This window comes from Homo sapiens, chromosome 11, assembly GCF_000001405.40.
Source record: "Homo sapiens chromosome 11, GRCh38.p14 Primary Assembly".
Lineage (NCBI taxonomy): Eukaryota > Metazoa > Chordata > Mammalia > Primates > Hominidae > Homo > Homo sapiens.
Window position 1 is genome coordinate 36,602,026 of NC_000011.10, and position 27,592 is coordinate 36,629,617.

General features: G+C 36.3%; 1 protein-coding gene across 13 annotated transcripts in view; it reads left to right on the forward strand.

Moving 5' to 3' along the window:
- The window catches only part of IFTAP (intraflagellar transport associated protein), a 64,771-nt gene that overhangs the window by 7,524 nt on the left and 29,655 nt on the right, over positions 1-27,592 (forward strand). For all 13 annotated transcript variants that reach the window (NR_077243.2, NM_001276722.2, NM_001276725.2 and 10 more), the window contains one exon: positions 8,056-8,214. Coding sequence is in view for 12 of the 13 variants with exons in the window: in NM_001276722.2 (NP_001263651.1) it covers positions 8,079-8,214 (136 nt within the window). In the remaining variant the exon portion in view is untranslated. The remainder of the gene's footprint in view (positions 1-8,055; positions 8,215-27,592) is intronic.

A 27,592-nucleotide genomic window follows, 5' to 3' on the forward strand; every position in this document is an offset into this window, starting at 1 on the left:
GTTATGTTTTGTACATTGAGGCAAAATTGCAAATAAAGTATTGAGTGAAATTGGAAACTGGGGAAGCATTGTATTACCTCTTATAGCCCATTTATTATTCCACAGTCTTAGGAATTTATAATTCAAAATAGCTGGGAAACAAATCTAAAATCTTACTTCTTTTAAGAGAATGCCAAGTGAAATAGAGGTTGATTTTATTTGCAAGATCTGGTATTTTGAAACACTTAGAAATGAACTCCTAGGTGATTTAGTTCAGTTGGTCTACACCTGCTCCTAACCAGCTGTGTGGGTTTTGCTTTAGAGTAGGCTTCTTGGTATTGTTTAAAGTCCTGTGCATTGTGCAGGTGGCTAACAGGCTCAGGAAGTTGGAGAGAAGGGGACAACTTTAATTAAGAGTGGATGCCTTTGTGTCATAGTATGCAGTATAAAGTAACCTTTAGTGGGACATTGTATCTTATATGAGGGTGGGATTAGGTTTGAGCTAATAAATCTTTTATGATTGAAATATTGTGTGATTATAGAGCTGTAAAGTTGACTCAGAAACCTTACTGCTTTATGGATTCACAGTTTTATCAGGAGTCTTGAAAAAAGTGTTCACTGAATTACTCGCCGTTACTACCCATAACTCATTGATATAGTTGATAGCATTTCTGAGGCTAGGAGATCAGTTTTGGACATGGCTGAAATATGGGTATGGCAAATTTTTCTTGATAAATGTCTAGAGGTCAGTTAGCGTGCTTATAGGAGTTTTGTTAGGGGGTGAAGATAGGGTGTTTACTTGTAATTCCACACAACTCTAAATGATTAAAAAAAAAACAAGCAAAAATGGTAGTGAAAAGGCATTCTTTTTGATTTCAAAAACAATGGATTTCCTGAGATTTGTCTTATGAGTATATCCTACAGATTCCATGTACACAGTTAATCTGTTTTTAAAAAATGATAGGGAGTGAGTGGGGAGAGTTCAAATGCTTAATTGGTTTGCATTTTTCTTTGTTTAAAAGAATTAATAACTGTGTAATTGAAAACAATCTAATACTTAGGTGACCTGCCTCAGTGAGTCAATGCAGACATTTCTGGATTGACTTAAACAGCTAGGAGGAAGAGTATACTTGGGGAAATAAAATGGGTATTATACAATCTGCTGGTGAACAGAAGGGCTTAATGAATGATAGCCTCAAGAAACCTCATTAAAGTAGCTTGGGTGAATGAACAGGAAAGGGAAGCAAATTTTTCAAGAGGAAAGTTTCTGTTTATGCATGTAATATTATAGATTAGTATTAGTCTCTCTCCCAGAGCTTTCTGTTGGGGGAAAACAACACATCTGGTTCCAACATTCTTGGTAAACTTTTAGTGATAATTTTCTTTTCCTAAATATCTTTTGTTTTAATTGAGTTATCCTTCTTTTCTGTTTCCATCCCCCATTTTTAAGCTAAAAAAAATTATAGATTCACAAGATGAATTCACAGGAGGTTCCAAAGAGGTATATAGGGAGGGCCCATGCAGCCTTGGTCCAGGCTTCTGCAATGTTAACATCATGCATAAGTTTAGTATAACATAAAAATCTGAGTTATTGCTATTACAGAAACAGAGTATTGTATAGAATATGTAAATTACAGCCAGGCACAGTGGCTTATGCCTGTAATCCCAGCACTTTGGGAGGCCGAGGTGGGCGGATCACTTGAGGTTAGGTGTTTGAGACCAGCCTGGCCAACATGGTGAAACCCTGTCTCTACTCAGAATACAAAAATTAGTCAGGTGTGGTGGTGTGCGCCTGTAATCCTGGCTACTCAGGAGTCTGAGGTAGGAGAATCACTTGAACCCAGGAAGTAGAGGCTGCAGTGAGTAGAGATTGCTCCACTGCACTCGAGCCTGGGTGACAAGAGCAAAACTCAGTCTCAAAAAAAAAAAAAAAGTCAATATGTAAATTATAAGTCTCTTTAGGGAAGGACCTAGATCTGTTTTTGTTAAGGCATCCTTTGTGCTATCTTTGTTTATAATCTGAACCCACATTTTAAAAATTATATGCAGTTTTTAGGATGGATGTGCTCCCTTTTCCTTTAGGTGAGAATTTGTCAAGGGGAAATGTATAGCTATTAAGACATACTTCTATTACTGCTGCATGGAACGCAATTCATCTCTCTCTTAAAGCTTTGTAGTCAACAGTAATCCCCAAACCTTTCCTACCTCCTTCCAAATACTTCCTTTAATATTCACAGCAAAGGGCTATACCTAGGGCAATTTAATAATATATGGAAGTCTAGATGCTTATACTATCAACTTTTTTGGTGATAATGAAGAGGTCTATGCCTTTTACATGTTAGAAAAGGCTGTTGATAAAAGCTCATAACTTGAAGTGCAGCGTATACCTTGATGCTAGAATTGTATGTTTTTTATTTCATCCTGATGAAAAACAATAAAGGAGTGTAGGTTCTTTTCTGTTTTGTAAGAGATGTTTTGTTTTATATTCTGCTTTCCCTTTATTCCTTTTGTTTCTTCTTTTGTTTTCTCATTTGTATTGGTAGGTCTCTAATATATAATGATGTAATATGTGCTCAGCCTGTGGCCTTTTGAATGTTATTGGGGTATGGAACATAAATGGAGGCATGAATATACCTGCCAGGGTAAGATTGCTGCTTTGTGCTTAATTTCCTGATGGCTTCAGATACACTTTAAAGTTCATAATCATGAGCATCTCATGACTATTTATGATGAGAGAACCACCCATTACTGCTCATCAATAGAGTCATTAGTTGACAGAAACCCCACATGAAGTTTCTTTCCCATACTCATTTATTCTCTATGATTGGACTAGATAACCTTCAGGTTTCTCTCAAGTCACAGAATCTGAATTTCTCACTGGATGTTTTTCTTTCTTCTTGATATTATCTGAAAGACAAAAAAATTAGAGGATGCAAAATTGTTGTAGTTCAGTCAAGGAAGAAGAAATCAGTTCATACTAGATCTGTTCTAATCACATCTGTGCAGCCTATTAAATCTCTGCAGTTAGAGTGCAGTTTGGTCTTTTGGAGATTTGACCATTTACACAAATATAAAAGGACACACACCTTGTGCAATTGTTGCAGTACAAATGTTGATGGTTTTATTTCCTTAGGCAAAGTGATAATATTTTGATAATATCCCATCTTACCTTTCAGTATAGCAGTAGATTCTTACTGAGCAGAAGATTACCATTTTGAGTAAGTGGGCTTTGATAGACCTGCACAACTCTCAGAGTTTTTAACCACCTCCCCCCTGCCCCCCCACTTTTTTTTTTTGCAGACATATAACCCTAGTGCTGTTAAAAAGTACACTGTGCACTTTCAGAGAAGCAAGCTTGTGGTGATTTGCTTTTTTAGGTCTACTACTCTTGTGTCTGAAAGTTGCATTTTGTTTGAGTAAGTTCATTAAGCAGGGACCTGAAAGTAAACATCAAAGGTGTGCTGAATCAGTGGTGACAATTTCATGTATCATATTTCATAATAATGTTCTTTCAGAGAGCACATAACATTAACTAGCTTAGGTGGTTGTTAGCTTCATTATTTGATAGCAGAAAACAAGACTTAAGGGAGGTTATATGATTTTTCTATCTCTCAGTGACTTGGCAAAAAGTGAACCCTATTCCTAACCAGGCCTGTGGTCTTCAAGTGAAGTGTAGTAGTCCATGGAGCAGTGCATGCTCCCTGTATTTCCTTCTGGGGGCCATGATTGTGAAAGTGTTGCTTGTGATTTACCAGCAGATATTTATACACATTTACTTATCACAAGACGTTTTGAGTCTTTCATGTGGAGCTCAAAGCCTTAAAACATAAAAACCAAAGCAAAACAAAGAATTCTGTTATCTAGGCAAGTGTCTCTCTCTCTCTCCCCCTCTTTTTCTTTTAGAAAAATACTTCGTGATAAAAACACAAAAGTATGTGAATGGTAATTGAAAATGCATTGCTTCCTTTTAGAAACCCACTAGGATTTGCATAAACCACTTGGCTGTCTGATAAGTCATTATCTGTTCTGTCAGTCCCTGGGGACTTTTAATATTAGGTTTATATTTTTATAGAAAAGGCAAGTTCTAAATTTGAAGATGGGTATTGTTAAACTCTTCAATAATGACAGTTTGTGAAACTGCATGTTCCAAAAGTCCTTTAAAAAGTCAATAAGGCCACGCGCAGTGGCGCACGCCTGTAATCCCAGCACTTTGGGAGGCCAAGGCAGGCGGATCACCTGAGGTCAGGAGTTCGAGACCAGTCTGCCCAACATGGCGAAACCCCATCTCTACTAAAAATACAAAAAAAAATTAGCCAGCCATAGTGGCAGGCGCCTGTAATCCCAGCTACTCGGGAGGCTGAGGCAGGAGAATTGCTTAAACCTGGGAGGCAGAGGTTGCAGTGAGCCGAGATCGCATCAAGAGCGATACTCTGTCTCTAAATAAATAAATAAATAAATAGTCAATAAAAACATGTCATCTCTATATTGGGATAACCACACAAATAAAATTAAAGGCCTAGAAGGATTTTGAATTTGTGCTGGCACAATCTGTTAATTGTTTGCTTTCAGTACTACTGAGATGTGTTGGATAATGCTCAAAATATGCCAGTTTAAGAAGTGGAAAAGAAGGTTAAAGGAATTTCTATTAACACTCTTAAAGCATTATGAGAAGACATTTACAGGAATGGAAACCACAACCTGGCTGCATCTGTTTGGTATTTGTTTGCTGAAGTAACTTACAAAGATGATTTTAAAGAAGAGATTGATAAAATAAAATGTTGAAATTTTTCTAGGCTCCAATTCTGGAAAAGCAGATTGACGTTGAAATTCTTGTAATAAAGTATACATCCTACTGTAGTGAAATAATAGCCACCTTTGAGTTTACTTATCATTATTTACTGTCTAGCTACTGCAAACACAGTTTATTCAGCTTTGCATTGCTAAAGCCTGGTGGTGTTACAAGTAAATGTGCATAAGCCATAACCAGTGCTTTTTCGTGTATCTAATTTTTTCAGGTACAAATAGCTTGAAACAGTTTCTTTTGTTTTAAGTTGATACCCAGCTACACTTTTAATTTTCACTCAATCCTCTACAACTCTATGCTTTATCTGGGGTTGTAATACATGAGGAATTATCTTGATTTATCTTTAGGTAACATCGCTGCCTTCAAAGTTGAGTGGGCACAGTTATAACAGGTCTTTGTGTAGGCAAAGGACAGAATATTAAGACTGATCCATCATCATCATCATCATGGCTAACATTTTTTGAGATGCCATGCGTACTCGTTTAATTTTCATAGTAATCTTGTGAGGCATGTGTAGTTTCACGATTCTTTATTTAAACCCTCAGGGTCAGATGTGCTTCAGAATTCAGAACTTTTTGGAGTTTAGAAAGGTAATCAGTGCGTGTGCCATATATTATACAAAATCTCTAGGCTGGTTCTGGGAAAGCACCTTATATGCAAGCATATTGGTATTTCTACAGGGAAATATATGAATAGTAACGCTGAGTAGAATAAAAGGCATAAGTACTCTCATGTTAATTCAATCAGGTCTTGTCCCCAAATGCATTTGGGCATTATCTTATGAATTTTTTTTTTTCCTGAGCTTTTTGGTATTTTGGAATTGAGGTTAAGGAAATACAGACCTGTACAGTTGTAATCCCCCCTTTTCTTTTTATTTTTTTTGAGACAGAGTTTCGCTCTTGTTGCCTAGGACGGAGTGCAATGGTGTGATCTGGGCTCATCGCAACCTCTGCCTCCCAGGTTCAAGCGATTCTCCTGTCTCAGCCTCCTGACTAGCTGGGATTATAGGCATGTGCCACCATGCCTGGCTAATTTTGTATTTTTAGTGGAGACAGGGTTTCTCCATGTTGTTCAGGCTGGTCTCAAACTTCCAGCCTCAGGTGATCCACCTGCCTTGGCCTCCCAAAGTGCTGGGATGTAATCCCTTTTTATAGATACGGGGAAACAGAGACCCAGAGAGGTCAAGTAACTTGCCCAGTGCTACACAGTGTGTGGCAGAGCTGGGCTGTGACTATACAGCTATTTGACAGAATAGGCTAGATCTGCATATACTAAAGTGGTGATATGTCTATGATAACTTATTAAATTAAAGCTGTAAAGAATAACATATAATATGGTTCCATTTTTAGAAAAAATCTATTATTCTCTATAAACATTATAGGGAAAGATTTAGAAGTATATTCTTTAGACTCTTGACAGAATTTACCTCTGATGGTTGGGAACTGGCAGAGTCAGGAGATACTTAAAGGTTTTTAGAATTTTATATCATACACATGCTATTTGTATTTTTAAAATGATAAATGTATAAAGGAAAAGTGGGAGAAAAAGTTAACAGATGTTTACTCTTGTTTCAGATAGAAGGAAGCTTGGTGCTCTCCCTTCCTTCCATTATTGGAGAAACCCCTACTTTTTATGGTCCCCCATGTAGTATACTGGCTACTTAGGCAGTAATTACATGTCTGCTTTCTGTAGATAATTTTCTCAAAGCTATGTAAGAAGAATACTTTATGCAGAATGAATGGAGTTTAACAAGGTGAAATATCATAAGTGAAAATGAAGTCCAAACTGTGCTTGGATTGAGGCATTGTGTCTTAGCTGACAGGTGTTCAGTTAGCACTGTGCTAAATGAATGACAATGTGGAATGGCCACTACCAGTGTGAATGTGAGCTCTAGCTGTATAGCATGAGTGGAATATTGAGAATGTGAGTCAGTCTAATCTCATCATATCAGGAGTCTTGTGTTCAGTTGTGGATGGTATATATAAAGGGATGCAGTCAATGTGAAATTTTTTCCAGATAGATTGATCAAGAGGATTTAAGGACTTGAAACCATGTCATATAGGGCACGGGTGAAATAATTGAGCAAGTATAGTTTAGTGTTTTGCCAGCTTCTAGCAATGCTTGACTGTTGTACTTGCTCAAATGAGTAATGTTAGCTTAATATTGATTGACTGCCAGCTCTATGCCACATCCTGAGCTATCAAGCATTTGGGATACAAAGATGAAGAGATGTGGACTCTGCCTTTTATGTCTCTGAGTCTAGTAGAGAACACAGAAATGTACACAACTGTTTCCCATACAGCATGATAAATTTAACAGTAAACCCTAGTACAGGAGCAGCACAGATAAATTAAGATTAACTCTTCCTGCAGTAGTGGGAGATGGGGGATAAAGTCTTCAGAGACAAATGGAATTCTGAGCTGGGTTTTGAAAAATAAATTTGTTACAGTGAATGAAATGAGAAGATTGACAAAGGATGGTATAACCTTGTTCAAATATTTGAAAAGATGTCATGTATAAGAAAGACAGAAATTTTTCAGTACAACCTCAGGGGCTCAGAAACCAGTTGGGGTAGAGTACAGGGAGAAAGATTTAGGCTTAATTTTAAAAGTTTTTAACAGAGCTGTCCAAAGGCTTTTTTGGAATGCTCAGAGTTACCAGTCCCTGGATGTGTTGATGCAAAGGCAAGTCAACTGTTTGTCAGTGATAGTAGGGAAGGGGGGGAGTGGAGTCACCCGATGAATAGAGTGACAGTGAAGTGTTTAAAGGCATGGTTTCTAGGATCAGACTTCTTGAGCTGGCACTTCTCCATACTGACTCTGTGACCTTATCTAGGACTGTTAAGATAACTAACAAAAAAATTGCTCAGAACAGCACCTGGTACACAGTAACTGCTAAATAAGTCACTAAGCTATTGCCATTGGATGGGTGGTTAGTTGAGTACTCTTTAAAGTTCCTCCTACCTCGAAAGACTTTGAGTTTCTAATTGTGTAATTGGGTGACAATAGTCATATGAATATATGACAATATTCTTATGAATTAAGAAGATAGTAATGAGCAGACTGAAGCAAAAAATAAAATTGTGATAGTTAACAATTCAGCAGCAAAGATATGAATAAAACTCTGGTCTCTTGAACTAGAGGTCACTGCTCTAGTAACTATCTTGATCTTTGTTTTGGAGCCTTGGAATTTTTCAACCTACCCATCCAGAATATTTTCAAAGGGGCTGGTATTGCCTGATTCTCTCTAGCTGGTATTTTTCTGTCTTGCAGATACTGTGGCCTCATGAATAGGAATGTCTGCCCATATGTCAGGATTGGAAATAATGGATGAAGATCAATTAATCAAAGACGTCTTGGATAAATTCCTTAATTGTCATGAGCAAACATATGATGAAGAATTTCTGAACACTTTTACTCATCTTTCACAAGGTAAAATGGAGAAGTAAACTTTCTGCAGCAATGGAGATAAATAATTTTATTATAAGTGTATGTTTTTGCTGCCTCTTGAGAAAGACTATTTAGTGAACATTCATTCCATTCGTTTATCAGGTAATTCTTACTAGGGCACTCGTGACTGATGCCCTAATGTTACTGATGATATAAATACCAGTCTTCATACATCCAAGAGTTGTGTGATGGTGTCAGAACCACAGAATTTGATAACTAAAAATGACTTGAGAAATCATTTAATATAATCCTTTTATTTTTTAAGAAAGCCAAATGCAAAGAGTGGAGGTTGTTAAAAGCCTACTTTAAAAAATTTCAAAGAGAAATAGTATAGTATAGACTATGGGATTACACTGCACACTTCTGGATCCTGGGATCACCACTTACTGGCCATGTGATCAGGGGCAGGGGTAGTTTTTGAGTAAAAGAGGAATAATAATAGTACTTCTCTCAAAGGTTGAGAAACGTTAATTGAGATAATCCATGTGAAACTCTTAGTGTAGTGACTAATACATAATAAGTACTTACTGAATGTTAGGTATTTGTATTGCTGTTGTGATGCTGCTGCTGCTGCTGCTGCTGTTGTGGTTTCTGTAGAATGGAAACAACCCTTTAGACTGGATGTGATGAGGCCAAACCCATGTTGTGTTTTTCATTATTTGTTTTGTTTCCCTCATCCAGTGTTATTGCTTATTAATTGAGCCAACGTTTGAAAGTTGGGTAATTTTACACGAAAATCTTGATTTGTGTTTTTTTTGGGGGGATCCAGTGAGAAGATCTGTTACTTCCTCATGGCAATATCAACTAGAGCTCAGGAGCCCTTGCCCAGTGAGCTCCTTAGTTTGTCACGCTCTCTGGCACTCACACAGTCTAAAAATGTGAGCTTACATTGTCTACTTCATTCATTCAAGTGGCCCCCTAGGCATTTGAGTTGTTATCTTCCTTCTGGGTTCTGCTTCAGATTGCCATCAGCTTGCTCTCAACCTTGATCCTTTCTGGGTCATTGATCCACATTTTTGAGACCATTGGTTCTCTACCTAGCTACACATTAGACTCACCTGACTCGCTTTTAGAATGTATTGACATCAGAGCCCACTCTAAAGCTCAGCTAGGATCAAGGGATTCGTATTTTATTAAAAAAACCTCCTCTGGTGCTTCTAATATGTACTCAAGGGTGAGAACAGGGAGTTCCATAATCTCTGAGGTCATGACACTCTTAAGATACCTGACTTCATGATTTGAGTAATGTGTCCCAAAGAAATGTAAAACAAGAGTAGTAGTTATAAGGAAATTATAGTTATAATGTATAAATGTAAAAGAAAAGTAGTAGTTATAACGAAAAGAAAATATGATTCTAACCTGTTTCTTTTATCAGGCAAGATATAATATAATTGATATCTGTTTTGTTTACACTTAAACAAAAAACATAGATGTGGTGATTTTTGTTTATACTTAATGGAAATGAAAAATTTAGGAACTAGCTAGTTAACTTTGACGCTGACTGTGAATGATCTGTTTGGACATAACATGTAGATCAAATTAATCTTGATAATGACCAAATTATCTTTTAGTCTGTGCACCTGGGTTTAGGAAGATACCTGCTTTGTTCGAGACTAATGATTTAGTTTGTGTTTTCTGGACCCAAACAGCAATATGAATGGCTGTGGTGGGGTGGTGGAAATAAGGGTAAAATTGGCAGAATTAATGAATTTTGGTATGCTAATGACATTTTGATAATTCACATTATTTTGGAAATCATCTGTAAGGCTGACTTTATTTTTGTACCCTAGAAGAATAAAAACTTTTTGCAAGGACTTTGATATATTTAGGGGGTTATAATACATTTACTTTTATGAAAAGGGGTCTTATTCTGTTTTCGAATTCCAGTATGATCATTGCATGCTGAGAAAGAAACTGTTGCAGATGTGATAACTTCATTTTGGGTTCAGTTTTGGACCCCAAATTGATCTGAAATAAATGATGATGCAAGTCACATAAACTGCATCTCCAAGCACACTAGTTGTTTTTTTTTTTCTTTCAAAATATCCCTAGGCACCAGTGCACATTATAAACTAATGACCTGAAAAAATTCCTCTTAAAGCACAGAGTTATGAGTGTAAAAATGTGTCTTAAATCAGTAAGTGTCCTTTTTTCCCTTTAAACATTTAAATACCTTCTGAGAAACCAGGACTTAGGGACAGGTCTGAGAGTTGAGTAATAGCCAGCAGAATTGATCAAGGTAAATGTGGTTAGTTCTGTTTAAGAAAGGCATTAAAGCTGTATTTCCAAAATTCCTATTTTCCCTGCTTCTTTCCAGGCCCTTCATTTGTCTCAATGTGTTTAGTTGTTTTGTTGATACACACTGAGCCTTTTCTCTGTTAAAGTAGTTATCACCATGCATACTTATGTACGTTTCTTTAGTAAGTTTAGTTTCTCAAGTCCATTACCATTTCCACTGATTGACTGTTCTATTTATTTTTATAATAGTTATACACCAGAATGCTTATGGGATTCATTTTCTTTCTAAGAGTGTTAAAAGGGTCAGTAATCCTATTAAAAATATTTCTCTGGAAAAAATTAAATTATAGCCTTGTTGAAAGAAATTCTCATTACTGCCTCAGACTCTTGGAAAACATTTGGAAACTGTTAATATTATAGCATAATTCTCACTACAGTACATTTATGTTGATTACGTTTTGTGGTTTTTTCTTTTTTAGAGCAACTAGGTTTTTAAACCGTGGTACATGTTTGATAGTAAAGACAATGTTCTATCAAAATGTTTAAAGAGACATATTAATTATTAGTTTTAAACGGCCAATTATAAGTGAATTCTCAATAGCACCTTCAGTTCAGGAGGGTAAATCAAATTCTAAGATATGTATTAGAAAATTAGCATGCAGATTTTTAAAATAATTGGTAAAGACATTGTTATGTTGTTGACATTGTGGACAAAGATAAGCAGCTAAGTTTCAATCTTTTGTGTCTCAGTTTCTCTGTGAATGTAACTAATTTATAGGACTTTCTAGAATATCTGTTTAAAAGGAAAAAAAGGCTTCTTTCTTCTTGCCTGTCATATTGCTATCATGTTTTCTAGGTTATAGAAACACTGATGTGAATACTTATATTTGATTTTTTATTTAATTAATTCATTAATTAATTCTGTGAGTGTCTTGTTATGGTCCAGATATCATTTTAGGTGCTGAAGATTAAAAAGTAAATAAAATATAGTTTGTGTTCTCAAGCACTCATAATCCAGTGGTAGAGATAAATAAGCAAGCAGGAAATTAGACTAATGCATGATAAGTATCACAGTGGAGACTGAGAGCTTATAGGAGGGCCACCCAGCCTGTGTTTGGAGGGACGGCAATAAAGTCTAGTCATCAGAGGGGCTGCTTGAGATGAGTCTAGGATAACTACTGAACCCAAACTTGCCTTGGGCTTCAAGACATTAAGTAGAACCAGGAAAGTTTGACAGAAAAGAGCTGAAACTGAAAGATGTTAAAATGCCTCCATTGGTGATGGTTCTTTGGGTCACGGTTGCATTGATTTTAGTACTGATATATCTCTATCTCCTTTAAACACTACGTCTTCAAGACGAATATGTAGCCTTGTTTTAGTAAAGTTTAGAGTTACTTCTTTTTTTGTTGTTGTTGAGTTTTCTTTTTTTTTTTTAATTATACTTTAAGTTTTAGGGTACATGTGCACATTGTGCAGGTTAGTTACATAGGTATACATGTGCCATGCTGGTGCACTGCACCCACTAACTCCTCATCTAGCATTAGGTATATCTCCCAGTGCTATCCCTCCACCCTCCCCCAACCCCACCACAGTCCCCAGAGTGTGATATTCCCCTTCCTGTGTCCATGTGATCTCATTGTTCAATTCCCACCTATGATTGAGAATATGCGGTGTTTGGTTTTTTGTTCTTGCGATAGTTTACTGAGAATGATGATTTCCAATTTCATCCATGTCCCTACAAAGGACATGAACTCATCATTTTTTATGGCTGCATAGTATTCCATGGTGTATATGTGCCACATTTTCTTAATCCAGTCTATCATTGTTGGACATTTGGGTTGGTTCCAACTCTTTGCTATTGTGAATAATGCCACAATAAACATACGTGTGCATGTGTCTTTATAGCAGCATGATTTATAGTCCTTTGGGTATATACCCAGTAATGGGATGGCTGGGTTAAATGGTATTTCTAGTTCTAGATCCCTGAGGAATCGCCACACTGACTTCCACAATGGTTGAACTAGTTTACAGTCCCACCAACAGTGTAAAAGTGTTCCTATTTCTCCACATCCTCTCCAGCGCCTGTTGTTTCCTGACTTTTTAATGATTGCCATTCTAACTGGTGTGAGATGGTATCTCCTTGTGGTTTTGATTTACATTTCTCTGATGGCCAGTGATGGTGAGCATTTTTTCATGTGTTTTTTGGCTGCATAAATGTCTTCTTTTGAGAAGTGTCTGTTCATGTCCTTCGCCCACTTTTTGATGGGGTTGTTTGTTTTTTCCTTGTAAATTTGTTTGAGTTCATTGTAGATTCTGGATATTAGCCCTTTGTCAGATGAGTAGATTGCAAAAATGTTCTCCCATTTTGTAGGTTGCCTGTTCACTCTGATGGTAGTTTCTTTAGCTGTGCAGAAGCTCTTTAGTTTAATTAGATCCCATTTGTCAATTTTGTCTTTTGTTGCCATTGCTTTTGGTGTTTCAGACATGAAGTCCTTGCCCATGCCTATGTCCTGAATGGTAATGCCTAGGTTTTCTTCTAGGGTTTTTATGGTTTTAGGTCTAACGTTTAAGTCTTTAATCCATCTTGAATTGATTTTTGTATAAGGTGTAAGGAAGGGATCCAGTTTCAGCTTTCTACATATGGCTAGCCAGTTTTCCCAGCACCATTTATTAAATAGGGAATCCTTTCCCCATTGCTTGTTTTTCTCAGGTTTGTCAAAGATCAGATAGTTGTAGATATGCAGCGTTATTTCTGAGGGCTCTGTTCTGTTCCATTGATCTATATCTCTGTTTTGGTACCAGTACCATGCTGTTTTGGTTACTGTAGCCTTGTAGTATAGTTTGAAGTCAGGTAGTGTGATGCCTCCAGCTTTGTTCTTTTGGCTTAGGATTGCCTTGGCGATGCGGGCTCTTTTTTGGTTCCATATGAACTTTAAAGTAGTTTTTTCCAATTCTGTGAAGAAAGTCATTGGTAGCTTGATGGGGATGGCATTGAATCTGTAAATTACCTTGGGCAGTATGGCCATTTTCACGATATTGATTCTTCCTACCCATGAGCATGGAATGTTCTTCCATTTGTTTGTATGCTCTTTTATTTCCTTGAGCAGTGGTTTGTAGTTCTCCTTGAAGAGGTCCTTCACATCCCTTGTAAGTTGGATTCCTAGGTATTTTATTCTCTTTGAAGCAATTGTGAATGGGAGTTCACTCATGATTTGGCTCTCTGTCTGTTGTTGGTGTATAAGAATGCTTGTGATTTTTGTACATTGATTTTGTATCCTGAGACTTTGCTGAAGTTGCTTATCAGCTTAAGGAGATTTTGGGCTGAGACAATGGGGTTTTCTAGATATACAATCATGTCGTCTGCAAAGAGGGACAATTTGACTTCCTTTTTTCCTAATAGAGTTACTTCTAAACTGCTGAAAGAAAAAGGCAATTTCTTTTAATTGCCTTCCACACCAGGATTACCACATGATCCCATTTGGGAAGCATTTGCTCCTACCTTTTAGAGTGGTAATTACTGCTCATGTTGCTGTCACACAGAGATTGTATAATTAAGAAGCCAATGACTTAGAAATTGACATTAAATCTTTTCAACTCCATTTTATGACATACGGTAACTGTCGGGAGTTACAGTAGTTATTTCCAAATCTCTCTTTCTCTCTCTCACATGCCTAGGATCCAGCTTTCCAAGTGATTCTAGAGTTTTTATATTGCCACATAATAACAGCTTTCTATTCACTGCCATAGTTGTCTACTTTAACCTGTTTTCTTCTGTGTAGATCAAAGATTTTATTTCAGATTTTGATATGTAATTTCATTCTTAGTTTTCTTTATGCTATTCTCATTTCACTTGCAATGCTTTGTGCTTTTAGCATTTTATTGTTCTTTTAACATATCTTTGAAAAAAATTCCTGTCAACTCAACCTCCCTTTTTCTCTTCATACTTGTTAATATTTGAATTGACTTTCCTATTAGGTAGAACATTGTGTGTCTGAATGTTCAGGACAAATGGCTATGCCTGTGGCTTTATAAATTGCTGGAGGACTGGCCTTTGATAGTTCCAAACTCTCGGAGTTTCAACACCGTTGAATAGGTTTCAGTTTTTCTCAGATTTTAATAATATTGTATAATCATGAGATTAATCTATATATACTTAATTCACATTGAGTTATTTAAGGAGCGATGCCAGTGCTTTTCCAGCATTACAAATTTCATGAATGGTGTAGTAACCGTATGATTTGTGATCATACAGGCCTGCACTGTCCAACACAGTAGCTACTAGCAACATGTAGCTATTGAGTATTGGAAACATGGCCAGTGCTACCCAGGAACAGAGTTTTAAATTTTAATTACTTTAAATTAATTTAAATTTAAATAAAAAAACTGATATTCAATTCATTTATTAGAAAACTTTAAAAGGTGTTTGGGACAACTTGGGTAGGTGAATCCGTTTCTTTAAAATGTAAACTTTATGAAATCTAAATACAGATCAAGTATTTCTGATGAAAATTTACTATCTGAATTGAGACATGCCATAAGCATAAAACATACACTGGATTTTGGAGACTTGTATAAAAATAGAATGTAAAATATCTCAATATTTTTATATTGACTATATTTGAAATGATAATATTTTAGAAAATTGATTTAAATAAAATATATCATTAAAAATGATATTACTTTTTATTTGTATATTTATTTGTATATATATTTATTTATTTGTATATTTATTTTTTTGTATATTTATTTATTTGTATATTTATTTTTAACATGTCTACTTGAAAACTTAAAACCACATATGTAAGCAGCTCTACTATTGACAAGTAGTTCTCAAACTTGGCTGAATATCAGGAGACTTTTGTGATGGCAGACTTTTATGAAAGTATAGATTTCCAGGCTTTTGGCTTATTAAATGAAACTATAAACTTTTATATAAACTTTATATATAAACTTTTGGCTTATTAAATGAAACTATAGCAAGGGGTCTAAAATTTTTATATTCTCAAGGCTCTGTAGGTGATTCTGATGTACCACTAGTTTTGAGAACCACTGATTTAGGCTACAGATTCTCATAAGGCAGTCTGTTAAAAAGCAGGACTGTCTGTACTGCTTTAAAATACCAGATAATTGCTTAAAGTGTGTTTCTGTTTCAATTGTAGAGTTGGCAGAGACTGTCTAGTGCTCTTTATTTTAGATTCATTTATGGATATATTGCTAAGTATTTGTCTCGAGTAACTTATTTAATTGCCACCATGATGCAAAGAATTAGCTATTATTCTTCCTTTTTATAGCTCAGGGAACTGAAAGTCATTGTAGATTAAATAATTTGCCTGAGGTCAGATAGGATTCAAACTCCAGACATCTGACCCTCCTCTGTACAATTATACCTCTCTCAGAGAAACATCTGGGAGTGAGAGATTATTAAAAAACAAGTCTAATATTACTACTGATAGCAGCTAACATTTATTAAGTTCTAGGGATTAATGCTTAGCTCTTCACATGTATCATCTCGTTTAATCATTATAATGACCTAGTGAGTTCTTTCGTACATTTTAATTTTTATCATTTTATTATTTTTAACTTACAGATGAGGAAACCAAGGCATAAAGTTAGGTAGCTTGCTATTGTGGACTGAATTGTGTGCCTCCCAAATTTACATGTTGGAGCCCTAACCCCCAACGTGGACTGTATTTGGAGATAAGGCCTTTAAAGAGATAATTAGGGTTAAATGAGGTCATAAGGGTGGGCCCCAACCCAGTATGACTGGTGTCCTTATAAGAAGAGATGGAGTTAGACTATGGTCCTAATCAGATTTCAAAGCCCACACCCTGAACCACTTTGTTCTCTGCCTTCCGTAGGGCATCGGGCAGTTCTTCTCAAGACCTGGGGTCACTGGTGTGTAGATAATATATGCCAACAGGAATGGATGTGCTACCTCAAAATACACTTACCCTGTCTTCTCTAGAGTATCATCAGCTCCATACAGCTGGTGTCTTGTGGGTTTTCACCACTATTACACTAGTGTCTAAAGCAGTGCCTGGTGGGGCAGAATGTGTAGATGCTTAAATATTGGTTGAATAAATGCAGTGAAAAGAAAAGAAGAGAATACAGAATGACAGGCTGGCAGACAGGAGGGCCTTAGGTACAAGCCTGAGGAACACCCACATTTAGTGGATGGCACAGAAGGGAGAGCCTGAGAAGGAGGCTGTGTAATGATGCTCAAGTTTGGATTTTGATATACTATGTAATTGGGAACCATAGTAGAATTTTAAAACAAACAAACAAAACCCATTAATACACATTGCTCGTGATTTTGAAAGGTAGAGCAAAGAAGAAGTAGAGAAACATCTGGAGTCAGGGAGACTAGCTGAGGGCTAAGGAGAAGTACGTTGCTGGAGGTCTGGACTAGGGTAGTTGGGGAGAAAATGGAAAGCAAAAGGGCCTAGGAGACGCTGCCAGTGAAGGAATGACTGACAGCACTTAGTAACAGGGTACTGGCAGAGGATTAAGGAGAAGAAAGAGTCAAGGAAGAGTCACAGGTATTTTGCCTGGGAGATACTGAGGCCCACAGAGGCCAAGTGACTTCTTCAAAGTTACACAGTTCTCATTTCAGGAGTCTTTTAATTTTTTTTTTCTTTATTGAGCGTTCGTTCTGTCAAGAGCTTAGAATCTTGGGTTGGGATTTGGTTTACATTTCTGGACTGATAAATTTTGAGTTGTCATTTCAGCCAAAAGAATATCACTACTCATACTTGACAGCTTCTAAAAAATGTAATTAAAAATGAAACCGGTGACAGCACATAAAACAACACATTTCCGAAGTTGACGTATCATCTTGGTCCCCAAAGCTATTTTGAATTTGAATATTAGCAATGCATCTTTAAATTTCCATGAGGGTGCAAAGAGAGGCTTTTCCCAATCTGAAGAATGAATTTAAAATCTGCTGTAGAAAAATACCAGAGAGAAAAATATAGAAAGCAGCTGTCCCTCTTACCAATTTCAGAGCAGGAAAGGAATTTCAGTAGAGCATAAAAACAGCTTTCTCTCATAAAAGAAAACACAACAAGAAAAATAATCCTTGCTGTGTAGCCTTTTGCAGTTATTTTCTGTCATGTGTTAGATAGAGACCAGAGGGCTTAACATTGTTTTGATACCCTTGCATCTGGCAGATTGCCTGTCAGAGGAAGTTGGAAACGAACTGACCAGCTTTATGCTTCCAGGTGGCACTGAAGCCACATTTTCAGTGCCGTTGTTATCAGTCATTTAATTCCCTACTGAATATTGAGTGGTGTTTTTAGTTCACAGGCCATTTGCAGTGCCTTTCTGTTTCCTTTTTAACGTTAGCCACATTAAGAAAAAAAAGGCAACTCGGGAAGCGCTTTTGCAAATGTGAATTTAACAGTAAAGAGAAGATAATTGAAAATATCATGGCAAATAGCAATAAACTTACTTTAACTGAAGACATAGGCCATGGGGATAATGTTACCTTGAGAGAAATTTGCAGAAGACGTCATATAAGGACTTGCTAATAAAAGTAACTAGGCAATTAAAAAAATTAATTAATCTTGCATCCCAAGGGAGCGAGTAAGGAAGCGGTGTTATTTTAAAGCTTTTTATTGATGTGTTTTTTAGTATTGCCAAAAAGAATAAAAGTGTAAGAAAAAATGTTGATAGTTTTATATTGAACATAAATTCAGTAACTATGTGTATGTAATCTCTTTATCACAACATAACATCAAACATCACATAGAACACTGAAGGAAAAAAATATTGAATGAAGTGAACTAATTTATAGCAGAGTCCTGTGGAGGAAACAGCATCAGCAGCATTAACCTGTTTTTTCTCTTTGGGGGAACATCTGCAAGCTGTAATTAAGCAATTTTCATTTGTTTCCCTATTTCTTTTGTCATCACTAAATCACTACACTTAGGGAACAAATTGACAAATTATGAAACACACAAAAATTGCTGGTTCAATTGCAGAAGGAAATTTCCCCTTTCAAATTATGACAGATTTTGAGCTGATCAAGCCATTTTGTTTTAGATATATTAGCATAAACCTTCAGCTGAAGTTGTTATAATTCATATTCATTTCAACATGAATATTTGGTTCATAGATAATCATTTGTTTTTTGTGACTGCTGGAGTTTACATGTAATTGGATAAGGAAAGAAAATGTATTTAAATGTGCATGACATTTTGAATTATAATCATTAAATTTATTTTTGGCAGTGTTTTTAATGCACAGTATTTTGTTCCAATAATTACCTTTTCTAATATGCGTTCTCAGTGAAGACATGGGAATTAAAAATATGTATTTTTCATACACATAAAAGAATCATTTTCTTTGATTCTTTGAAAAGAATGAAATTGTTTGATTTACTTGAAAAGATACACATCTTTTCAATTTATTTATATTTGATATATTTTATGTATACATATAAATTAGAGAGTTGAACTTTTGTAGACAAATGGGATTTTAAACTTTTACAGAATGAAAGAGAACTACTAATAGTTAAATAAACTTTTAAGGTGGTCATTATCAATCTTTAAATAGCCAATTTAAACAATATTAAGTGGGTGCATATTTGTTTTATATGCATTTCTCTTTAACTTGAGACATTATTTTTATTCGTTGTTGCTAAGTGTATCATTACTTGAAGGGAAAGGGTAAATTGTTCCACTCAAAACTGAGGTGGTCATAAGACAGTGTCCTTTGATTCAATTGAATGGGCATGTTTCAGATCTGAATGGTTTTAGCAAAATGTTCTTTTAGCCGTGAAACAATAATATTTTCTTTGAAATGGTCAGCTAAACCCAAAGGGATACAAACAGGAAACTTTATTTTAACCAAACTCTTATATGAAAATCAAACCACAATCTGTCTAGTATATGATTTTTAGTGTCTTTTTTTTCCTTAATTTGGATTCGTTCCAGAGGAGGTACATTTAAGTGACGCCCATCAGCTTACTCTTCTTGCAGTTCATTGCATCCTTAGCACAGAGAGGAATCATTATATCATTTTCATGTGTTTTCCAGACTTAATTTGCCTTTTGCATTCAATTTTGTTGTATATGAACTACTGTTTAGAAGATTGGGGTTGTAGGGAGTCATCTGAGTGTTGAGTTTAGTCCCTAATTATAGTGTCAATCCAGGTCTTCTTGCTAATGTTGAGGTCATTTCAGTATTGATGATTCCTTCTGTGTTTTAAGCATTGAGCTAGAATCTGGGAATACTCAGATGAACAAAACAGGGTCCCTACCCTAGAAGAATTCATCAGCTGATATGTCATTCCTATTGCAATCTGCTTATAAAGGATGGTGTGATTCCCAAATGCTCTAAATGTGTGAAGGCAGAATAGCAATCTATATGTTTATAGATTGTATAGTTAGAGGTTGATTTGGCAAGGCAATATTAACTATTTGCATAGTATTGATGAACATCATATCCAGAATATTGCCATTGGTTTTGGGGTCTCAGTTTTAGATTGAATAAACAGCCTATGAGTTAATAAAATAACAATAAGAATGATTAGAACAGTGGATTTTCAGACTTTTTCCTTCTTATTTTACTTTAAGCTCTTGTTCTATTTTTTATTTTTTTTTTTGTGAAGGCTCTCCTGGAGTTTCCTGATAAAATGAGAGAATGTGAAAGACATATATAATTTAAGTCTCCTCTTGAACTGCTCTAATCCAACATGCCAATGTTTGAGTCCTATATTCTTACAAATGTGTTCAGCAGATGTTATTCTACTTTAGAAAGTTTGAAAACTTCTTCTAAGAAGTATTTACTTTTTAAAAAAGAGGGAAAAATTACTCCTCCTAACTTTCTCCAGTGTAGGTGAGTTAAAGAGGTTGCCTTAAGTAAATGCAACTTTTTGTGGTAGGCAATAGGACATGATCTTACGGTGAAGGAAAATCTTTTAGGTTGCAGATATTTAGTTTTATAAATAATTTACTATGTTGCTTTTATAGTTCTCATTTTGTTACGGGCAGGGCCAGTGTAATGGGAAGGGACACTTCAATCCTTGGATTCAGAAGACCTGGGTACTAGTCCAGGCATATACTAATTTCTTAAGACCACAGGCCTGTCACTTACTCTCTGAATCTGTAAATCAGGGCTAATTCTGCCTGTTTGGTATGTCTCAAATGGTTGTGGTGAGAATCAGATGAAATACACATGAAAGTATTTGGTAAATTTTAAAGACTTACTCATGTGTAAAGTTTTATGATTGGGGTTCTATTTCTCTGATACGAAAGAGAAAAACATCAAGGTTAAATATGAAAGGAATCTTGAATGTAAATATAAAAAATGTAAAATATTGTCTACAGTGTTAGTTGTTTATACCCCATTTCTTGAAGTAGTTAAAACCAACTATGTATAGTACATATTGTATTGTGTACATGTACGTGGTATATTGTATGGTGTAAGAGTACAATTCAGGGAATGATCCTACACTGGCCTCTGGTGGATGGATGCAATACTATGTCTCCACACAATCATCAGGCAAATGTATTTACATGCTTTGACCAAAGATGAAGTATCAGATTCTTCTTTTTAATTATCATTGTTAGATTTTACTTCATGGAATCTTTACTTGGGAATTTTACCTTATGTACAAATCACCTGGAAGGTACTTATTAAAAAGTAGATTCCTAGGGATCTTGCCCCAAGATTCAGTAGTTCTACTAGTGTGCAGATCAGAAACTTTGACTTTCAGACCAGCTTTGAGAAAATACTCTAAATGAAATCTGGGAGGAGTTTAGGGAGATAAATGAATTTTTCAACACTTTTTGTCCATTTTTGTATATATTATATTTTTTTATGAATAAGGTCTGTAGCTTTCATGAAATTGTGATACTCCCCCCCCCACTCAAAGCATAAGAACAATTATTTTACTTTAAATATGACATTTTTGTTGAATGTCACCATTGTATATTATTTAAAAGGCATTTTGACAGTGAAAAAGGATGATGGGTTATAGGAATAATTTTACTGTGATCTTGCTGATCGCTAATACAGAGGCTAGGATATTATAGCTTACAGAATTTTAGGGTGGGCTTTAGTTTGGCACATGTTCTGTCCCAAGTCTGAAGGATTGTAGTGCATGTGTCATAGGTCAAAGCTACTCCATCACAGGGAAATGTCCTTGCTACTTCTGTCTATTGCTGCCAGAACTGTGTTCTCTGTGAGTGTTTTGCCATTAGCAAGTACACAGACAAGAGACTAGGGAGACCACACAGGCTGTGGAGGCATCTCATTGCCTGTACTTTCAGGAAATGCCCCTCCAATCATTTCGCTGTTTCTGGTAACTTTTCTGTTGTATATTTCGTACACGAAGGTACTTGGTAGTTTTAAAGACTTACGCAAGAGTAGAATTTTATGATTAGGGTAATTATTTGTGATTTAAAAGAGGGACATCAAAGTTAAATATTAAGAGAATCTTGACCTACAATAGAAAAAAATGTAAAATTATATATATGTGTGTATATATATGTGTGTATATATATATTTTTTTCCTCCTTCTTCATTATTTCCAGGAAAACCACTTTAAAAAGGAAGAAGATGCATGTAGGTATTCTCCCTAGATTGAGGATTAGAAACTTCGTTGGAAGAAATGCTTTTTTGCCTCTTCAAATAAAAGTATAGTTTTTAGTTTTTTTGTTCATAGTACAAAAATTAGAAAATACTCAGAGGTACCAGCACCCACACACCCATGCACACACTCACACCCACACACCCACAGTAAAACAATAACATACTCTTTCTATAGCAGTAGAATTTTTATCTACTCTATGGCCAGCCAAAATAAAGATTACATCCTAGTCTTCCTTGAAGCTGGGTATAGTCATTTGACTAAGTTTGTGTCAATGAGATGTGAGGGGCACTGGTATGTGCAACTTCTGGGTCATATCCTTAAGACACGTGCACTATTTCTTTTTATCCTTTTCCTCCTGGCTGGAAATTGGGAATCATTACAACAACTCCTTTAGACCCAGACATGGAGGCCATGTGCTTACGATGACAGAAAACTCCAGCAGCCTGAATCCCTGGGTCATTTCATGGAACAAAGCCTACCCACCTTTCCTAAACTGTTACATGAGAGAGAAATCAAATTCTTGTTTGAGCTGCTCCATTTTTTGTGCTTCCTTGATATGGTAGCTGAAATCAGCCTTAGCTAATTACAGAGAAGTGAGGTGTGTGCTTTCTTTTTCCTTTTCTTCATCCTATTGCTTGGAACAAGGGTGTGGGGGGGTGTCATCCTGGACCATGTGGAGAAGGTTGGTGCTGTAGTCATGGCAGAGCAGAAAGATAGAAGCCTGGGTCAGATGACTTTGTGGAGCAAGGTCATATTATCCTTGGATTATCTATATCTCTTACTGTTGCATGAGCGAGAAATAAACTTCCACTTTGTTTAAGCTGTTGTTACTTTAGGTGTCTTTTTATGTAGGCAAACTTATATGCAGTTAACTAATAAAGTCAGAGTCTATTGTCCTATAGATAAACCATGGTTGTATACATCCTTTCTGAAATTTTTTATGTTTATTAATATGTATATATGTATTCAGTTATTAGTTAAGAACATGGAAGTTGGAGACAACCAAGATTTGAATCTAAACTCTGTTACTTTCTAACTAGGTGGTCTTGGGAAACTTACTTAACATTTCTGAGCTTCAGTTTTATCATGTGTAAAATAGATATAATAACTTCTACTTCATTAAGTTGTTATTAGGATTAAATAAAAAATATATAAAATGCACATAAATATGTTTATTTATATTTATATTACCTGAATTATTTTAAAGGCTCAACCTAATATTTTCATTCATTTATATATTCAGCAAATTTATTATAATTATTTTATGAAAGTGGGCTTATGCTACACATAGTTTCTGTAACTTGCTTTTTTCCCCTCACCACTCTACAGATAAGAAGTAACTTGCTTTTTCATGTAACATTATATTATGAACACCTCATAGCAATAAATATCATTTACCAGTGTTTTGATGACTTCCTGGTATTCACTTGTATGGATATTTGTTTAGCCATTCTCTTTTTGTGGGACATTTGAATTATTTCTAATTTTTGGCTATTACAAATGATGCTACATTGCACGCCCTCATTCATTTGGTAAATGTTTGTTGAATATCTACTATGTGCTAAATGTTACTCACAGAAGTGAACAAAAGACACAAAGATCATTGCCTTCAGAGAAATTGTATTCTAGAAGGGGGAAACTGAAATTTGTATTCTAGAAAGGGGGAAAACAACCAGAGCACAGTATAGGGAATCATGAGTGCTGGCAGGAGGATTTAGGGTTGCAATTTTATATAGTATGATCTGGGAAGGTAAAATTTGAATAAAGTTGGAATGAGGTGAGTCTGCAGATATTTGAGGCCCAGGGAACAGCGAGTGCAAAGGCCAGGTCATAGCAGCACCTGCCCAGCTGAGGACCAGCAAGGAGGCCGGTGTGGCTGGAGTTGCATGAGCAACGGTGAAAGGAGTGTGGAAGCTGAGGTTAGAGGGCATGGAGGTAGGGAAAGATCGGGCATGGATAGCTTTGTAGGTCCTTGCAAGGGTTCTGGCCTTTGTTTATTTGTTGATTGATTTTAGTACTAGCGTCTTTGCACCCTTCTTACTTATGGCCTTTGGATACATTTCCACCCATGGAAATGCTGGTTCAAAAATCTGCAAAAATATATGTCCTCGATTAAATAAAAATGTTCAAGGGAATAGATCAGACATTTTTGGCTTTGCAGTGAAATCCTCACCCACGTACTTAATCATTTCTTTCGGATACATTCTTAAACATGGAAATGTGAGCTGAAAGATATGTAAAGTGTTATGTCTTTGAGTGAGTAAAAATTTTAAGGGACTAGATTATATGTTTCTTATAAGCAGAGGCCATGTCATATAATTTTCTTAACTCTTTTTCCAGCCTGGCAGAGTGTTAAGCACATAGTGGACTCTCAGTGTAGAACTTCCTGGTTGAAGGGCTGAATATAAATCTACATTTCAATCTTAATTGTTACCCATCTTTTAGAGTGGAGAATGAACATTTTACTTTACAGGAACTGTGAGTAAGTTCCTGACAGTGAGATCCCTGCTCTCCTTAGGGATACATTTTTGTGGGAATAGACAAGCAATGAACAATTTAGGAAGGTAATTTCAGATTATTTCATATAAATTTGAAGAAAACAGGCCATGTGATAGAGAGTGACCTGATCCTAGGACTCTGATGGTATGGTGGAGATAAGGTGATTAGAGAATTATAGCCTCAATGAGCATCAGCATTTCTACCATTGGGTGTGGAGGGAAGTTAAACTGCATAGTTACCCTGTGGTTTTATTTCATCATGTGGGGCAGCATGGAATTGGATTAGTAATGACAGTCCTTAGGTCAAACTCAGTATCATAATTAAGGGGGTACAGAATGTGGAAACACTCCAAATGTTTATCAACTGGTGAATGGAAAAATAAAATGTGGTACTATTCATACAACGGACTATTATTTGACAATAAGAAGGGAAGTGCATACTCCAACAGACAAACTTCAATAAGGTTATGCTAAGAGAAAGAAGTCAGGCTCAAAAGACCACATATCATATGATTCCACTGGTATGGAATATCTAGAAGAGATAAATACATAGCAACAAAAAATAGATTAATGGTTGCCTGTGGTTGGGAGTAGGAACAGGGAGTGACTGCAGATGGGCTCCAGGCACCTTTTTGGGGTGATGGAATGACCTAAAAATGGAATCGTGGTGATGGTGGTACAACTTTGTATACTTCCTAAAAATCATTGAATTGTACACTTAAAATGAGTGAGCTTTGTGGTGTGTAAATTACACCTCAGTAAAGCTGTGGGGAAGTGGAGGTATTGTTCATGGATACTTAGATACTTAGATCCTCCCTGGGTTCTTCACCAGATAAGCATGTGTCCTTGTGATCCTGGGTTTGGCTCAAGAACTAGGAGGATCCTGCTTGTCTGTAAATATTACCTATTAAGAAAATAAATCAGTTGTGCATAGACTTGTAAGTTTAACGTAGAAAAGGGCTGTGGTGCAAAAAAGAAACAAACTTGGATGTAACAGATTCTACCTTGTGTTGATATTGTCACCAGCAGCTGTTGCTCTGTTAGGAATTCTGGAGCCGTAGGAGGCTATGCTCAAATATGCTGCATCTGTTCCCAGTGTGGGCCACCTCTTTTGTGGTCTTGACTAAGTTAGTTGGGAAGGTAAGCTCATTTTATGGGATGGGTATGTGTGGCCTCTTGGCACCAAACTGTTTTCTACTTGACAGGTTGTTATCATGCTGTATTTGCACCCACCATCACAGAGATTGTTTAAAAAAAAAGTTATCTAGGGCATGCCAAATTATATGTAAAAGTATAGTACAGATTGCAGTGGAAAGATAACGTGATGATTCTGTGATATCTGGAGAGGAAACATAACCAGTTGGAGATAGTGCCTTCATTTTTGTTTTAAAAACAAAAGAGAACTCACTTGCGAACTCTTTTTTTTTTTTTCTAAATTTCTTCAGGCCACCATAGCTGAAGCTCCCTTTACTTCTCACCTGGGTTACTATGGTAGCTCCACACTTTCTTGTCTCTAGTACCTGAACCACTTTGATCCATTCTATCCATTTGTCTTCTTAGAGCACAGCTCTAATTGTGACTCCCCAGGATGTAGGTCAAGTACAGAGTTTTTGTCGGGCCCTCCAAATATACCCCGTCCATGTGTCCCCAAATCTTCCTGGAATAATCGGCGATTCTTACTCAGGCCTTGTGTGTTCCCACCTTGAGGGCTTTGCTCATGGAATTTTCCCTTTGTAAAATGACCTCTTCACAGTGCTCACCTGTTGAAATTGTAGCTATCTTTCAAAGCCCAGCTCAGATGCCTTAGTCCTATGTGAAGCCTTTTGTGATTCTGCCAAACCAATTATGATTTTACCATTCTTTGTGTTTCTATCTCTCTTATATCATCTGCCATCGGTGCCTTCTCTTTTGGTGGTTTGCATGTATGGCTTAACTTCCTAGTTTGTAAACTCTGTGAGGACAACAAGGACTGAGTCTTAACTGTCTTTGTCACCTTGCATATAGTTGATGACCAGAATATAACTTTTGGATTGAATGAGCTCCGTAACTCAGCCACCACACAGAATTTTTTTTTCTGTCTGAAAATAAGCTTTCAGAAACATTACACTCTGTTCATATTTTTCTCTCTGTAAGTGCCTAACACTGGACATTTCAAAAGTTTCAACTTACTGCTATTGTGTCCCTCATCTGGCATTTTTCACACACATTTTTCCAGACCAGGGTTGTGCATTTGTGCCTTGGCAGGTTGATGGCTATGACTGTGAATAATGAGTCAATTATCATCCAGCCTCAGGGAAAGCACAGTTATTCCTGACTGGCCAGACTGAGGTAATCCTCTCCTCCCTGTGCCCTTTCAAATGAGGAACATAAAACAGTTGGAATTCAGAGCACTGCAAAGGGAATTTAGACAAAGCATTTGTCTGCCGAATTTAGCTTCTTTGGATTTATTCTGATTTATGATTGATTGGTTTTTAAATTGCTTATTTAGTTCGAACGACTATCGCTCCAGGGGAGGCCAGATAACAAGGAGCATGTGATCAAGAAGCAGTGGAGTGAAGTAGTTTGGCTGGACAAATCAAGAGCAAATATTATTGTCCAGAGAAACATTGCTCTAGGCAAGGAGTGTAATGCAAAAATCACACCCTGACTTTCAGAGTACCCAACCTTGTTATAAGCATGATTGCTTATCCCCTATTCTCTTTGCAGAAGGATTTTTGCAATTGCCTAGTGTTGCACAGAATTGTCCCCCTATGAATTTTTCTTTCCTTCTAGCAATATATTCAATATCTCCTCTCAACTGAGAACATGCTCTTGATTTATATTGCTGTTGACCAGAGTGTGGAAGAACAGACACTCCGAGGTTGCTGGCAGATTTGGTTGTGAATTCTAATGTTGGTTGTGCTGATCTGTGAAAATTCTCCTGCAAGTGTGATAATGCTTCTCATTGCATGGGCACTAGTCTGGCTTTTGTACAGATTAATTTGAATTTTTAAAAAAGTTTCTTTCAAAATTGAGTTCTTTAAAAA